At 43.2% G+C, this 17,970-nt stretch overlaps 1 protein-coding gene across 10 annotated transcripts in view, besides 1 other annotated feature; it reads left to right on the forward strand.

Moving 5' to 3' along the window:
• PLEKHG1 (pleckstrin homology and RhoGEF domain containing G1) overlaps positions 1-17,970 on the forward strand; it is a 243,781-nt gene that overhangs the window by 152,656 nt on the left and 73,155 nt on the right. For all 10 annotated transcript variants that reach the window (NM_001329804.2, NM_001029884.3, NM_001329805.2 and 7 more), the window contains one exon: positions 16,098-16,198. In NM_001329804.2, coding sequence (NP_001316733.1) covers positions 16,098-16,198 — 101 coding nt within the window. The remainder of the gene's footprint in view (positions 1-16,097; positions 16,199-17,970) is intronic.
• Positions 521-1,022: an enhancer, noted in NCBI's record as "NANOG-H3K27ac hESC enhancer chr6:151074197-151074698 (GRCh37/hg19 assembly coordinates)". NCBI's record gives its function as "activates a minimal SCP1, AML or CMV promoter by ChIP-STARR-seq in naive H9 embryonic stem cells {active_cell/tissue: H9 hESC(naive)}" and the evidence as "EXISTENCE:reporter gene assay evidence [ECO:0000049][PMID:30033119]".

Here is a 17,970-nt window from a genome sequence, read left to right on the forward strand (position 1 = left end):
GATTTGTCCTTTTGCAGCTGGCTCATTTCACTCAGCATGTTTCCAAGGTTCATTCATGTTGCAACCTGCATCAGGATTTAACTAATTAGAATTACCTTTTAATACTTAGGAAAGATTCCTGTACAATAACTGATCCCTTAACCGAGGTAAGATGACACTTTATAAAAACAAAGAATCCTCCTTACTCTGTAAGGGGAGGAGGTTTTATGAAAATAATGCAGACATGATGAGAAATTGCCAGCCTCCGTCCAACCCAAAGCAAAACTGAGTGTTAAGATTCTTTATTTTAGTCGTGGTACAGTGGCTCGTGCCTGTAATCCCAGCACTTTGGGAGGCCGAGGCAGGCAGATCATTTGAGCTCAGGAGTTAAAAGCCAGCCTCGGCAACATGGCGAAACCCTGTCTCTACAAAAAAATACAAAAATTAGCTAGGCATGATGGTGCCTTCCTGTAGTCCAAGCTACTTGGGAGGCTGAGGTGGGAGGATGGCTTGAGCCCGGGAGGTGGAGGCTGCAGTGAGCTGTGATTATGTCACTGCACTTTAGCCTGGGCAACAGAGCCAGAGCCTGTCTCAAAAAAATAAAATTTTTATGAAAGATTCTTTGTTTTGTTAAACTAATATAAATTAATTCCTAATGACCAACACCCCTCACCCCCACCCCCGTAAAGTAGACCACTTTAAAAATGGAGAGAGTCTGCTGTTTCAAATGGCAGGATCTCGCTGGGGCAGAATCACCCCTGAAGGACATTGTGGGGTGGGTGTGTGTGTGTTGGGAGAGGCAGGGGGAGCCATCCCTTTATACTTTAAAATATTTTCTTTTGAAAAAAGCCTTTATCTCTTTGGATCCACAAGAAATGTTACAAGTGTCCCTTCAGTTTCATAATGGGGCTTACGGTGATGCCCTTAACCTTTCAGAAAGCCCGAAGTGGGTGCCTCGTAAGGAGGGGACCTGCCGAGCTGGCCGCCCAGCAGCTGCCGACCATAAATACACAACTGCTGAAAAGACTGCTGCTTTTGTCTGATTTTCCATAAAGCAGTGGATAAATTACTCAACCCAGGGGTCTGTTTATGGCCTCGTAAATGCTGTTCCAAATGCAAATGCACAGAGAGAAAAGGGTGAGAGTTAATCTACTTTTGATTAGAGAAGCGTTTCTTGTGCAAAGCGGGAGTGAGGTGGGTGGGAAGAGAGTTAAAAACGAAATGCATAGTTTAGGGACCTTTGTCATCTTCAAGAGGTGGTGTTGTAAAAAAATGCTGCCCCTGCGACAAAGGCTGGGAGCAAGGGAGGAATGTTGGGCTGGGTCAAGATTCTGTACAGCCCTCGCCTCTTAGCTAGAGAGGGAGCAGCGGGGGCACCGTTAACCCTTGCCTTCCTGTGCTCTGCACATTGCTCATTTCTGGGAATTCACTCCATGAGGTTGCAGAGTCTACACTCATTAGGTGCTGGGAACACTAAAGCACAGTGCCTACTAACTGTTGATACCAGTTTCAGGGAGAGAAGGAATGACAAAGATATTTTTATAGCACTACATGATGATGACCCTGTGCTTAAAGACTTAGAATACCTGACCCAGACAGGGGACAGGAAGGGTCAGAGGAGGATTCCTGGGAAGAATCTTGAAGGATGAATGAGCCAGGTGGTGATGAGCAGGACAGCCAATACTGGCAGTGAGAAAAGAATAGACAATAATAAAACGACATGAGAGGGCAGGGAACAGGGACATTCCTGAAAGAGCAGTGAGTGAGTGCCTGTGTTGGTAGAGGTGAGGGAGTTGAGGGGGAGCAAGACAGTGGTCAAAGATGAGCCCAGGAAGGTCGGGAGGGATTTAAGAGTCCTTGAAGGATTTTACCCAGGAGGCATGACATCAAATTTGCGTTTTAGAAAATCATGTTAGATAGGTTTGAAAAGTTGTGGGGAATCAGACCCACAGTAGAGAGCTGGGTTAGGATGTCCTTGCAGTAGTCCAGGTGAGAGATGAGAACAAGGTCAAGGCAGCGATGAGAGAGAGGACAAGTCAGTTTCAAAAAAGATATAGGTGGGAGAGGAGAGGCGGGATTTGTTGTTTGGGTGGTCACAGCAAGAGGGCAAGGGTCTTGGAAACTTTTAGATGGCATTAGGACTTTCTTTCTTTTTTTTTTTTTTTTGAGATCGAGTTTCACTGTCATTGCCCAGGCTGGAGGGCAATGGCACAATCTTGGCTCACCGCAACCTCTGCCTCCAGGGTTCAAGCAGTTCTCCTGCCTCAGCCTCCAATGTAGCTGGGATTACAGGCATGCACCACCACACCCGGCTAATTTTTTGTATTATTAGTAGAGACAGGATTTCTCTGTGCTGGTCGGGCTAGTCTCAAACTCCCGACCTCAGGTGATCCACCTGCCTTGGCCTCCCAAAGTGCTGAGATTACAGGCATGAGCCACTGTGCCTGGCCGGCATCAGGACTTTTTGTTTTTTTGAGATAGGATCTCGCTCTGTTACCCAGGCTGTAGTCCTGTGGCGTGATCATACCTCGCTGCAGCCTTGATCTCCTGGGCTCAAGCAACCCTCCCGCCCTAGTTTCCCAAGTAGCTGGGACTACAGATACATGGCACCACGCCTGGCTAGTTTTTTAATTTTTTTGTGGAGACAGGTCTCACTTTGTTGCCCAGACTGGCTTTGAACTCCTGGCCTCAAACAATCCTTCCGCCTAGGCCTCCCAAAGTGCTAGGACTATAGGCATGAGCCACCGCGCCTGGCCGGCATCCAGGACTTTTTATGCACAGGTCTCCCCTGACAATAATCTTCAGACTCTCTGCCAACGTTGATGGTTAGTAATAAGCTGCTTAAGTAAATTAGCCTTCCTACGGCACTGGTATTGCCAGTGGCAGAGAATGGTGGGGGGATAATTCTTTATTATGATTTATCAGCATATAGAGTTCATTTACTTTTGAACCCAAAAAGGCTCCAATCTGACCTACCTTGCTGCTCTGGGAAGGAACCTGGGACCTAGACGGCCACACAGCAGGCACCAACACCTGCACATGTGTGCTGAGCTGCCTTGAATGGACCATGTGTGCAGTTTAACCCCTGGAATGATGAGGAGACACTGGTGGTTGTATTCTTTCTGCTTCACGCTGAAGCTACGGAGCCTCAGCAAGGAAGTAACTCGCCCAGGGCCTGAGTCCTAGACCCAGACTGCCTGACCTTGAGGCCGATGTGTTTCCCACCTCGCTACATCGGGAGCCAGCCCTGCGGCTGAGGCCTTCATGTTGCATCCGGCAGTGCCTTACCCTGTCCTCAGATAAATCCGTCCTGGGAAAGCAAATTTACTTTCCCAGGACAGTAAATTTAATGTTTTTATTAAAGATTTAATTTTTAATTTAAAAAAATTTATTTTTTTCCATCTTGTGGTAGATAGAAGCTGCATTTACTACAAGAAAAAGCAGAGGGCACTTCTGTTCAGATTATAAAATTGCTGCTGTGGAAATTCATATCTCTTGAAAAATCACTTATGGAAACCTCGTCCGTAAGAGTCCACTCTCTTAGGTTAAAGAGGGAAGAAAATTTTCCCCACATCACCTTTTTCACCCTGTGGGGCATGAATTAGGACCAGGCCTCCTGGACAGTATGACAGAAGGACATCTTCGTGTTTACCCCCTGGCCCCATGCTCTTTGAGAAAGTCAAGTTTCTGGGGAACATCCCATCACTTTGGCCCACGCACCTTGCAGACACCCTCCAGCTCCATCTGCACGGTGCCTCTGCCTGCTCCCCTGCAGATCCTCAAGCCTGTGACTGTTTCTGGATCAATACATAACTTTTGGTTAAGATTCTTCTGTGATGAGATCAACAGCAATATAGTCAGCGAGACAATCAGATATATCCTAAGGGCTCCTCATTGTTTTTGATACAATGAGCGGAATAACTTAGCCATGAGTTTCCATATTTAGCAGCAGATTACCTAATGTCGCCAGGGTGTAATCACATTCATCTGCCTTGACAAACCGCCCATAAAGAGGTCGGTCCTTGTGTAGATTCTTTATTTTAATATATACAACTGCATTGCATCGCGACTTTCAAGTAAAATAGCTTGATTTTGAGGGGCATTACCAATCTATGTGACTCAGGAGATGAGAAGTTGAGCTAATGACTTCCAGCCTTTTCCAGTTAATATTGTCCAGGTAACCCCTGCCTTTTTTGGCTGGCTGAAATTTGATTTTGATTGAGGGTTACAGTTTCAAGTCATTTAGCACAAATAAGTCAAGGCTTTTGTCTTTAAGGCCTTGTTATCCACCAAATGAACACTGTTTGAGTACGTACTGTATGCAGACCAGTTGCTGTGAGATAATCTATACTACTGTTCCTGTCTCAGTAAAATTAGATGGGCAAGTGTTCCAACTTATTAAATAAGTCATATAGGTAATTATTGTCCAACACATGTTTAAGTAAAGTATATGATAATTGATCATGTGTATGTGGAAAAGCTGTACCTGTTTTTGTTTATTTGTTTTAAGATGGAGTCTCGCTCTGTCACCCAAGCTGGAGTGCAGTGGCTCACTGTAACCTCTGCCTTCCAGGTTCAAGCGATTCTCGTGTCTCAGCCTTCTGAGTAGCTGGGATTACAGGCGCCCACTACCACGCCGAGCAATTTTGTTTTTGTATTTTTAGTAGAGACGGGGTTTTACCATGTTGGTCAGGCTGGTCTCGAACTTTGACCTCAGGTGATCTGCCCTCCTTGGCCTCCCAAAGTGCTGGGATTACAGGCGTGAGCCACCGCACCCCACCTGCTGTAAATGTTTTAATGGGCCATTATTTGGTGTCCTTATTTCAAAATTTCTTGTTCACTAGAATTAAGAGTCCTCAGGTGAAGTGTGGGTTGTTACTTGATTTCTGAACAGGAAATGTTTTCCTGCAATAATCAATTGCCATTTTGATGTTTGGTGAAGGCTTTTAAGCCATCAGTGTATTAAAATGGCATGCAGAGCTCATGGATGAAGTGAGAACAGCCCTGATAAAAACCCAGATTGTCTGTGGTGCACACAAGTATGTGTGTGTGTGTGTGTGTATGTGTGTGTCAGAAGTTACTCTAAGAAGCTTCTTCCTTACACACACTCCTGTGTGAAGTGTTAGAACACCTGCCACAATCACCTAGCCATAGTGATAGGGATTCTTTTTTTCTTCTTCTTCTTCAACATTTAAGTTCCGGGGTACATGTGCGGGATGTGCAGTTTTATTACGTAGGTAAACATGTCCCATGGTGGTTTGCTGTGCAGATCAACCCATCACCCAGGTATTAAGCCCAATATTCATTAGCTATTCTTCCTGATGCTCTCCCTTCCCTCACCCCCTCCCAACAGGCCCCAGTGTGTGTTGTTCCCCTCCCTGTGTCCATGTGTTGTTCAGCTCCCACTTACAAGTGAGAACATTTGCTGTTTGGTTTTCTGTCCCTGAGTTAGGTTGCTGAGGATAACAGCTTCCGGCTCCATCCATGATTTCATTCCTTTTTATGGCTGTATAGTGTTCCATGGTGTATACGTACCACATTTTCTTTATCCAGTCTATCATTGATGGGCATTTGGGTTGATTCTATGTCTTTGCTATTGTGAATAGCGCTGCATTGAACATACGCACACATGTATCTTTATAATAGAATGATTTATATTCCTTTGGGTATATAGCCAGTAATGGGATTGCTGGGTCAAATGCTATTTCTGCCTCTAGATCTTTGAGGAATCACTACAATGGTTAAACTAATTTATCCCACCAACAGTGGAAAAGTGTTCCTTTTTCTCTGCAACCTTGCTAGCATCTGTTTCTTGACTTTTTTTTTTTTTTTTTGAGACAGAGTTTTACTCTTGTTGCCCAGGTTGGAGTGCAATGGCACGATCTTGGCTCACTGCAACCTCTGCCTCCAGGTTCAAGTGATTCTCCTGCCTCAGCCTCCCGAGTAGCTGGAATTACAGGCACACACCACCACGCCTGGCTAATCTTGTATTTTTAGTAGAGATGGGGTTTCACCATGTTGGTCAGGCTGGTCTCAAACTCCTGACCTCAGGTGATCTGCCTGCCTTGGCCTCCCAAAGTGCTGGGATTACAGGCGTGAGCCACCACACCTGGCCATTTCTTGACTTTTTAACAATCGTCATTCTGACTAAGCATGAGATGGTATCTTATTGTGGTTTTGATTTGCATTTCTCTAATGATCAGTGGTGTTGAGCTTTTTTTCATATGTTGTCTGTGATACGGATGCTCTTCTACACAGCTCCTGAACCTCTTTGTATGTTTCCATTTCAATACGTGAGCATTTTCCTTTGAAGGCTCTCTTCAGAGCTTCCATCTTTCTCTTCATTTCTGATTTGTCTTCATTTCAGAATGATTCCTAATTCTCTAGAGCTAAAACACCCTGCTTTCCAGGCTCCCCATCATGTCATGATTTCATATTACTTGAAAGTAGCATGGTGCTCAGAGAGCTGATCGAATGCGTCTGCCCTGACTCCCTGTGACTGGTTTGGGGAAGGAGTGTGTTTCTGTGGGACGAGGTATATAGAGACTTGTCCATAAAGAGGGATCAAGTGGCCCACCGTGTGGTGGCTGGCAAGAAATGGGATGTCTTAAAGGAGTGTAAAGGCATGCATTAGTGAGAAGGAAGGACGAGAACTCATGAGCCAGTCTTGAACGTGGCAGATGGTTGAAAGCTGGTGTGCTTGGCTGAAGGAAAACATGCCATGGGATGTATACATATGAAAACATGAAGGCAGTGGGTACCGCATGTGAATGGGACTGATCCTAATTCAGATATAGCCTGTGATGATCTTGGCAGGTGGGAGGTGCCTAGTCAATCAGGGTGGCTGTTTTTGGTTGGCTCCTACCTGACACCTGATAAAAATTACCTTTAACTCTCAAAATTAATCATCAGCAAACCCCTCCTCCTGTTTAAATATACTGTGTTAAGGTATAAAACCTTTGAAGTGACCCTGTAGGGTTTCAGTGCCCAGGCTATTGTCAGCAGATCCTGGTTTGAGCATGGCTTGAGGCATTTACTCTCTGTGTGACCTCAGGGGAGTGATGGAGCCTTTCTCAGCTTCCGGGAAAATGGGATGAGTGGGACCCGTCTCCTAGGGTTGCGGTGAAGATGAAATGAGAGAATGCATATAAAGCAGACAGCTCAGTGCTTAGCAATAAACTTTAAAATAACAACAATGATGATTGCCGGGTGTGGTAGCTTATGCCTATAAGCCCAGCACTTTGGGAGGCTGAGGTGGGAGGATCACTTGAGGTCAGGAGTCTCCTGGGCAACATAGTGAGACCCTATCTTTACAAAAAAATAGAAAAGTTAGCCCAGTGTGGTGGTGTGAGCCTATAACCCCAGCTACTGGGAAGGCTGAGGCGGGAGATTGCTTAAGGCAGGATTTCCAGGTTGCAGTGAGCTGTGATCAAGCCACTGCATTCTCACCTGGATGACAGAGCCAGTCTCTAAACAAAAATAAAGAAAAAAGAGAAACCAATAATGATGATAAATAGCAGTGAGGAGTTAAAATTCAGATTATGTAATAATGTACATTTATTTTACTGATTTTTTTCCCCATATTAAAAACCCTTTGGGCTTTACTTAATTTTCCTTAATCACCATGTTTCAAATTACACCAGTAGTCCTCTGATTATAATGAAGATGAATCAGTTTCTTATTTTCAGATGCGTCAAGTGTTGCCAAGACATTGCATTCCTCCACCACCTCACCAGCCATTCCCATTTTCCACTTTAAGGATTATAGCCACATTTAATTGTGTCTGTCTGCTTCCTTACCTGGCCTGGGACCTGGAGAGTAAAAAGGTAGTTTAAAAAAGAAATAAAAAGCGTGTAAAGTTAACCTGATGACAAGGAAGACAAAGTTGTAGGAAAGGAAGTCAACTGGAGGGATCATTCTCAAAGGAGTGGTTAATAAACTTGCTTCAAATTTCTATCTAGTGAATGCCCACAGCAGCCTCATACTGAGCTTTACTCCAGGGGATTCTGGTAAACACGGTGGTGGCCCGTTTTGAAGACTTTAAAATACATAGTCTTCGAAGACTTTGTATTTACATGCATTCAACAGCACATAGATTATTTCAGAAATGCTTTGCTTTTTTTTTTTTTTTTTTGGTAGCTAGAAATAATGATAGGATTTACACTATAGAAAAAACAGTAATGGGAGGTTGCAAATAGGTCTGGAAAGATATTTCAGTATGCAACAGGACTTCATCATGGCCAACTGTCTACCTCTGTCAGTTTTAGAAGCACTTTGGCATATGAGAACGTTGTCAATGTAATTTGGAAACTGCAATTTCGAAAATAAATATTTAACAAGGCAACAAAATTAAGTTTTTCTGCTACGTTATTATTGTAAAAAGGCCTCTTATAAGGACTTTTCTAATTGTTATACCGAAAGGTAATATAAGGAACTGATTTTAGTGTTATGTTTATACCAAACTGCTTTTCCATTATTATAACTTTTTTAGGTTTCAGTACATTTATACACATCCACATGAAGTCAATAAATGACATCACTGTGAAGTAAATGAAAACAATTGATTTCTTTCTTTTTTTCTTTTTTTTTTTTTTTTTTTTTTTTGAGACAAAGTCTCACTCTATTGCCCAGGCTGGAGTGCAGTGGCACAATCATGGCTCACTGCAACCTCCACCTCCTGGGTTCAAGCGATTCTCCTGCCTCGGCCTCCCAAGTAGCTGGGACTACAGGGATGCGCCACCATGCCCAGCAAATTTTTGTATGTTTAGTAGAGACGAGGTTTCACCGTGTCAGCCAGGATGGTCTCGATTACTTGACCTTGTGATCCACCCAGGCTGGAGTGCAGTGGTGCGATCTCGGCTCACTACAACCTCCACCTCCCAGGTTCAAGCGATTGTCCTGCCTCAGCCTCTCGAGTAGCTGATATTACAGGCCTGTGCCACCACACCCAGCTAATTTTTGTATTTTTGTAGAGACGGGGTTTCAGGCTGGTCTCGAACTCCTGACCTCAGGTGATCCACCTGTCTCGGCCTCCCAAAGTGCTGGGATGCAGGGGTGAGCCACCACACCTGGCCTAAGACAATTGATTTCGGTAATGATTGTCAGAAGTGTAGGAAAAGATGGGCGTCCTGTTGCTTTAAGAACTTTAACATATTAATACTAATTCTATTTCTTAATTTCTTGTTCATAGATGTGTTTTTGCTTAAAGTCTTTAAGGGAAAACCAAACAAATATTCCTAATTGTCTTCAAGCAAAGATGTATTTCTCTTTCTACTCATCATTTCTATTTTTAACAGAATTCCTGTTCCAAGTTTCTTTTTCTGGGAAGAGCTGCCACCTCCTGCCCCTTCCTAGGCCCAGCTGGCCCATCTCCTCACTATGAGAAAGCTCACAGCTCTCCCCCTTTCAGGAGGAGGTAGCAAAACAATAGAGGGGACTGAACAGGCGCATGTATCATCTGTCACAGCTTAACAAGAAGGCCATTCCTGACATTTTTTACCAATGGTTTATGTACTGCAAGTATTATAGTTGGTAAATGAGGCTGAAACCACCCGATATTTTATTCTTTTACTCAGGCATCTCAGAGCCGTTAACAGAGTTCCACACATCACATTACCAGTAAGATCAGCCTCTGTCATATCTTTCTTCCCCCTTTGTCTTCCCCTTTCTTTCTCTCTTTTTCTTTTTTTTTTTTGAGTCTCACTCTGTTGCCCAGGCTGGAGTGCAGTGGCGCAATCTCAGCTCACTTCAACCTCTGCCTCCCGGGTTCAAGCGATTCTCCTGCCTCAGCTTCCCAAGTAGCTGGGATTACAGGTGCCCGCCACCAAGCCCGGCTAATTTTTTTTTTTTTTGTATTTTTAGTAGAGACGGGGTTTCGCCATGTTGGCCAGGCTGGTTTCGAGCTGCTGACCTCTGATAACCTGCCTGCCTCGGCCTCAGAAAGTACTGGGATTACAGGCATGAGCCACTGTGCCCGGCCCAACCCTCTCTTTTTCTTTCTTCCCTTTCTTCTCCTTCCTTCCCCCTGCCCAAAGCTATTGCCAGAAAGATTGTGTCCCATTCCTTCTACATTGGATTTTCAGTACATTTCTCTGTGGTGTGGGGTCTAGACTGTATGGACCCAGGGAAAACTCTATCTCCATAGTAAGAGCTTTTGTATCCAGCCTAATGCAGTGGCCGGAGACCACCATTCCCCAGATCCTGTTTCTTTGGCTGTAACTTCCTCCTCCCTAGGTGTTCACAGAGAAAGAAGAGAAAAGAGATTCACTTAAGATTGGACTTCTGATACTTTTATCTATAGGCTACAGCAGGACATTTTATTATACCCTGTTCAGTGGCTTATTTGGAAGAAAGATAAAGGGCTTCTTTCATTTGCAGTGTGTTCTTCTGTACTCTCACAGTACTTTGTAAATAATTCTTGTAGCACTTAAATGGTCAAACTCTGAACTTCTTTTACATGTTCTCCCTCATTCTCCTTTGAGCACCAACAGGAGGGATAAAGCTTCTTTTTTTTTTTTTTTTTTTTGAGACGGAGTTTTGTTCTTGTTGCCCAGGCTGGAGTGCAATGGCACAATCTCAACTCACTGCAACCTCCGCATCCCAGGTTCAAGCAATTCCCCTGCCTCAGCCTCCCAAGTAGCTGGGATTACAGCTGCCCACCACCACACTTGGCTAATATTTTTGTATTTTTAGTAGAGATGGAGTTTCACCATGCTGGGCCAGGCTGTTCTGGAACTCCTGACTTCAGGTGATCCACCTGCCTCAGCCTCCCAAAGTGTGGGGATTACAGGTGTGAGCCACCGTGCCCGGGCCTTAACCAATATCTTATCAGTCACAATGTTCTGTAAGGGCACTCTTTGTGCAAAGGACAATGGCTGGAAAATCAAACCCATGTTTTTTCTTAGAGCTTGGGCCCTAGCAAGAACAAAATGAGCCAGCCTGAGCACATGGAAATCTACGATCTGGATTAACTAGGCCAAAAGTAGGCCTGTCTCCTGTCACCACAAACCCCCAGAGATGCCTTTCAACCTTTCATCTTGGCTTGAAGAAGTCCAGTCCAGGGGGTACCAAACCTCAGAACAGCCCTGCCCAGGCCTCTGCAGATGGGGCCTGCTAGAGCTGGCCCTGGCTTGGTTTTACCTCACCAGCCACCTAGGAAGGAAAATCAGAGGAGAGAAGCCAATGGGTCCTTCTCTGCAGAGGGAGCAGCCCAGCTGTCTCCATGCTACAGCCAAAAGGAAGAGGAGACAGATGGGTCCCCATGTACTCATTGACTTTAACTCACTCATGCCACAGTGGATGAGAAAGCATCCTTCCTGGGAGCTGGTGAAACAGCAGCTTCCTCCTTAAGGTGGGAAGTGACGAAGAGAGAGGAGCCCCAGACTTCCTTCCACTGAAAGCCCACATGGCTGATCAGTCACTTCAACCATGCTGTCACCCTGGACTCCATGCTTTCTATTATTCTCCACATCCCATTAAATACCTCTCCTCTCCACCTGACTCAGGGTTAGGAGTTGGTCTGCACATACCTGTCTGCTGCATGCATCACCTAACCAGCCTCCCCAGCAGCTTTATAGCTTCTCTCCTATTTTCTTTTTCTTTTTCTTTTTTTTTTTAAGACAGAGTTTAGCTCTTGTTGCCCAGGCTGGAGTGCAGTGGTGCAATCTCAGCTCATTGCAACCTTTGCCTCCCGGGTTCAAGCGATTCTCCTGCCTCAGCCTCCCGAGTAGCTGAGATTAACAGGTGCCTGCCACCATGCCCCGCTAAATTTTGTATTTTTAGTAGAGATGGGGTTTCACCACGTTGCCCAGGCTGGTCTTGAACTCCTGACCCTAGATGATCCACCTGTGTTTGCCTCCCAAAGTATTGGGATTACAGGCATGAGCCACTGCACCCGGCCCTGTTTTCTTTATTGATGATGGAACCATCTTTAATCTCACCACACGCTTCAGTGGTTACCACCAGCTATGTAGCGTGGAAGATTCTGCATGACCTGTCCCGGCCCCCATTTAGCCTCATCTAGCAGTGCAGCCCCACCCTCAAGGGTCTGTGTGTTTAGGCGCACGCCCTGCTCTGTCCAGCTGGTCTCAACCCTGACATCTGGCTGGCCTGAAATCTAGCCCTTTTCAACTCCTTTTAGTGTCCTTTTTGTTACCCTGTGCCTTTGTTTACCCATTTCTGGCCTCCTAGATGTTGTCTTCTTCCTCCTTTCGCTGTGTTGAAACTCCATCCTTCAAGATTCAGCTCCACCCTCACCTTCCCTGTGAAGCCTCTCCCCTCCCTGGAACGGACCACTTCCGCCTTTCCTGCCCTCTCTTGTGAACTGAATCTCTATCAGTCTTGCTGCCAAAACACTATTCTATTTATTTGTTTACACTTGGCTCTTCAACTATACCGGGAGCTTGCTGGGGGAAGGGATCATGTTTTATGCATTTTTTTTTAATTCTTATCCTGTAAAACAGCACTTGGCACACATTATTACATCCTCAAAATAAAAAGATGGGAGGAAGGCTTGTATAAATGAATGTTAATGTGCTTTTAAACTGTAAATTACTATACACATGTAAGTTATTCTAGTTTCAGAGGCATCCCAACGTAATACATGAAATTTGAAAGGCAAATTTTTGGGTAAACAGACTACTTTCTAGAAAGGGTAGAGGGATTGGAGAAATGAAAAAAGATTATTTCTCAGGGCCAGGTGCAGTGGCTTACATCTGTAATCCCAGCATTTTGGGAGGCCAAGGCAAGTGGATCACCTGAGGTCAGGAGTTTGAGACCAGCCTAGCCAACATGGTGAAACCCCGTCTCTGCTAAAAATACAAAAATTACCCAGGCATGATGGCACGTGCCTGCAATCTCAGCTACTCGAGGGGGCTGAGTCAGGAGAATCGCTTGAACTTGGGAGGTGGAGGTCGTAGTGAGCCGAGATTGTGCCACTGCACTCCAGCTTGGGTGACAGAGTGAGACTCTGTCTCAAAGAAAAAAAAAAATTTAATGTGATATCAGAAGAAGAAGGGAAGTGCAGGAGCTATTAACTAACCTATTTCCGGGCATCTCATAGAAATAAGGTAAGCTCTGAAGGGCGCTGAATTTGCCTTCAGTCTCAGTTCTTCTTTCTATAGCATGTCCCTGCTGGATGGTTATGTAGATCAGAGCTTCTCAAACTATCCATGGTGAGGGGCAAGTGTGTGTGTTTTCTTTCCATCTATCACACACCGATTCTTTTGTAAAATACAATTTAAAAAAGAATACTAGAAAAGTTAGAAGAAGAATAAGATGTACAAAGTACAAGCACAAATTTATTATTAGATTGATATTAAATCATTCTGTAAACTAGTTTCTGCATGCTTACTTGATGTCTGTACTTATCTCCTTGTAGATCAGCAGCAAACAGTTTGCAAATTGGCTCCTGCCCACTTCCCATACTTTGAATAGGACCAAGTCAGATCTACTTGGATATCTACTTGGATATTTTCAATAACACATATTACAAGGAATGAAAAAGTTAATTAGAGGAGGCTGCTCGTGTGCAAATCTTATAATGGTAGAGATCTTAAGGACATAAACTGATTAGAAAGTAAATAGGAGAAATTTTAAATCACAGAACATCATTCAAATGGTGAAAAGCCCTTTTTTGTGTGTACTCTCTGCTCCTTCCCTCACCAAACTAGGGTAAATTCTTTGATCCTCTTGGAGAATAATTGTTTTCAGTGCAAAAGTTTTAAATTGATCCTTCATAGTTGTTAACAGCAGGGTAACCATAGGTGCTGACATCAAGCCAATAAAATTAATAAGCAGCATGACAGGCTCTAATAAATTTCGTTGGTGTCCTTACACTGTCATTTCGGGCGCAGAATGAACTGTTATTATCACTGAGCTTCAAACCACTCATTTGGCTACAGATGATTACAGCTGTGAATGCAGGGCATGCTGCCTTAGTTTTCAGGAGCTAGTCTAGGGTTAAAGTATTAGATTTAAAAGATGTACTTATGATCAGTGGGGGGGAACAAGTTATGACCATACAACTTTGATCTGTTTTCTAGAGTGGTCTACAAAAATGTGGACTCCTCACGATCTGTTTTCTCAATAATTTCTGAAAACAAGCAACTTTTAAAATTTAGTTTCTCTGCCATGGACTCTGAGGTTTTTGAAACTCTTTGAGCTGGCGATGGGCCATCAGTTGTTGGATGCTGGCCATGGTTCTTTGTCTGTAACCCCAGATGAAATTCTTTAAGCCCCTTAACTCAACCTTTCTCTCACATGAAGAATTTAGTATCAGGTTTCTGCAAATGAGCAAGCTTCGCTCTTGAAGTGAGAGAAAGGATTGTTCATTCTCTCTTTAAGCCCCACTGCAGAGCCTCTGAATTCAGCCAGGTGAATGTGGCTTGCACCCTCCACCCCTGCCCCGCCCCTCATCCTGCCATGCTGTGTGTGGCTCATGCCCATCCACATCCTTCTGTTTTACCTTCTTAATTTTGTGTACAATATGCCCTCCAAAATGTCCAGCAAAGTCTTAAGCTGCTATTAAATACAGACATTCACTGCACATTGAGTATTAGTCCATCCTTTTGGACCATGTGTAATTTAACAGAAATATCAATGAATATATTTCTTTATTTTGAGGGAGTGTAGGTTTTATGTGTTGTTCAAAATGTACCATTCTTTCAATTCTGGCCTCCATTTGTTTTTCTTTTTTGGGCCTTTTTTGGGCCTGTCTGTCCTATGCAGGTACTCAAGCTCTTATGATTGTTCCATTTATAACAGTAAGGAGAATAGGCCAAGCTATTTGGGGATTTTAATGCCAACTACTTTTAAATCTTTTGAATCTAGTTTCTTACCGAGGTGACTACTTTCTTAAGAAGAAAAGTTGTTACCACAAAGCTTGTTTTGAAAAAAGGTTTATGTACATTGGTTTATGCATGACAATGATTTTAGTATGAAAGCACTAGAACGAAACCTAATTTGATGCAAACTGTGAAATGTGCCACTTGAGAAAGTTAATGATGAAAGCCTTGCCTATTTTGCATTGGAGGAACCTAAAGAACATGAGAGAATGAAGGTGGATTAATAAAAGGCGTAAGAAACAATTATCTAATGGATCTTACATTTCAGCTTCTCCTTTCTCTAGCTGCATCTAAACACGACAGTGTTTGCTGTTGGACATTGGAATGCGGCTGCGGTGCTGGGATTTTCATGGTCTGCTTGGCTTTTCACAGGGTTACTTCCTCTAAATGCTGCAGATCGCCATGTTACGTTTGGGAGGGAGCCACACTTCATTGTTCAGCCTAGGGCAAGGACTGTATTTACTTTTTATTTTACGTTATTTCAGCTGTTTTCACTTTTTTCTGTATTGTTTTCCTGCCTCCTACAGAATCCTTTTTCAAGTCTTGCTAGGGAAAGGGGAACACTCAGTTATGAACTCTTTAGCACACAAGGGGCAGAAAGCAGCTTTCCTCTTTCTCAACAGTTCAAATAACTTCTAAGCTATGTCAGTTTAACCCACTATGGGTCTCAATCCACAGCAGATCTGTTTGGGAGCTGTTTCTATGTTAAAACATACAAAATCAATTGAGAGTTTTCTGTGGCTAATTAACACAGCATAGTAAGTTATATGCTTATTTTTTTCACTTAAAAAAATAAGTTGGTATTTGAAAAAGAATTTGGTTCTATAGTTTTAACAACAGATAGTTTTGTGACTTAAGGTTATGTTTAAAACAAATTCTGTCAGTTCAGAATTTTTATTTCTGGTTTTTCACTATATGAATTTTAGAGTATGTTTTAATCATACAAATCAGTCAAAGAAAAAGCAGACGATGTGGTTATACCAAAACTGACGTTATTGGCACTATGGTCATTGTAGCCCCATCTGGGGAAGCTCTAATATATTTAGGGAGTAGACAGAATGTATACCACACTCTTTCTCTTTCCTAAAACTCTTCGTTCTATAAATAGGTGAGTATTAGGGCCAGTAATAAGAGAGCAACTGTGTACTCTCAGAGTTAATGAGCACACTAGTAAAATAATTACTTGAAACAGATATGAAAGATGCACTGGGCATAATTAAAGATGACTTGGAAAGGACAGGAGTGTTTAAGGCATCCTTCTCATTGATCTCACAGGATTACCTTGACTGCATCAGGGACCAAACAAAACTTCCCCTGGGGACCGAAGAAAGATCAGCCCTTTTTGGAAACATACAGGATATCTACCACTTCAATAGGTAAGTTAATATTCAAAAGATTGTTCTCACATACGAGCATTATGAAAATTTCTCAAATGAATGCAGCCTAAGAAACTTTACCTGTAACCCCTGACTCAGCTTCATATATTTTTGTGGGCTGTTGTGCCAAGAAGCTTTCTGCTTGGAAGTATCCTTATTTCCTTATGAGTCTCACATGTATTCCATATTCTCTCTCTCTCCATCCTCCTGGCTCAGAGAAGAAACCTATTTGCCCTGGTGGGGCAATGACATCTTTTCTTCCACAATATGACATGAACATGACATCCAAGAATATGTACTTGCTTAGTCTCCAGGATCCCCAGCTACACTGAATTTTCTATAACTTTTCTTCTACCTGGGGAGTGGGCTGGACACAGTAAACACACAATACATACTTCAAGTCATAACATATTAATTCAATTGAATTGATAATTTTAAATAATCAGTTTAATTAAAAATGTAAGTATGTAGCAGACACTGGGCTAGAAAATTAAAATAGTAAACAAGACAGAGAGTGAATGAATAAGTTATTATATTAATACTTCTTGAAAGTAAAGTTAGGGCCAGACATGGTGGCTCACACCTGTAATCCCAGCACTTTGGTAGGCCGAGGTGGACAGATCACTTGAGGTTAGGAGTTCGAGACCAGCCTGGCCAATATGGTGAAACCCCATCTCTACTAAAAATACAAAAATTAGCCAGGTATGGTGGTGCACACCTGTAACCCCAGCTACCCAGGAGGCTGAGACAGGAGAATTGCTCGAACCCAGGAGGTGGAAGTTGAGTGAGCCAAGACTGCACCACTGCAATCTGTCCAGCCAGGGTGACAGAGCAAGACTCCATCTCAAAAAAAAAAAAAAAAAAAGAAAGAAAAAAGAAAAAGAAAAACATAAGTTCGTAGACTGGTTAACAGCACAGAAGCTGCTGTTCAACATACATGAGTTTGCATCCCAGCAAAGCCCCCTGTATGTGTTGAGTGAATCTTTAAATGGAATGAAACTAACTAACCCCTGTATGTCAAGTCTTTACTCAAATCCTTCTTCTCGCTGAGGCTCCCTGAGTATCCACACATACCTTACCTCCTCCACTTTTCCTTTTTCTCATGGCACTCGTCAATTTTTAACATACTATATGATCGACTTTTATATTATGCCTGTTGTTCCTTTCCTCTCCACCCTGACTCACAAAACATTTGCTCCACAAGGACAGGAGTCTGTTTTGTTATTGTCTATATGTCTAAAATGGTGTCAGGCCCATAGGAGGCATCCAAACTTGTATTGAAGGAAAGAATGGAAATAATAGGAAAATCTCCCTCATATGGTTACAGTGAAGCTCCCGTGAACTGATAAACCTAAAGTGCCGGCACAGAGGAAGTACCAAAATATAAGCCTACGATGCTCTTGATTTTGCGATAGTGAAATCCCATTATAAAATTCTGCAATGCCCTGTCATTTTGTGACTCAGCTATAAATGCAAACTCAGTCCTACCCATCTTGGCTTACTAAAATTGGTAAATGTGAGCTCCTTGAGGGCAGGATTCACATATCCTTTGCCATCCTTGAATCCCAACACCTAGCACAAGCCTGACCTCTGGGAGAAATGTTCCTTGACTTGAAATAGCTTATCCTTTAATTCTGAAAGCCTAGGATGTAGGAAGTGTCAGTGTTACAACAGAACTTTTTTCATTTGACTCAGACTTTGAAAAACAGTTTGTGTATTTTGCATCAGTATTTCTCAACCTGGGCTACCCACTGGAATCACCTGGGAAGCTG

Source organism: Homo sapiens, chromosome 6 (assembly GCF_000001405.40).
Source record: "Homo sapiens chromosome 6, GRCh38.p14 Primary Assembly".
NCBI classification, from domain to species: domain Eukaryota; kingdom Metazoa; phylum Chordata; class Mammalia; order Primates; family Hominidae; genus Homo; species Homo sapiens.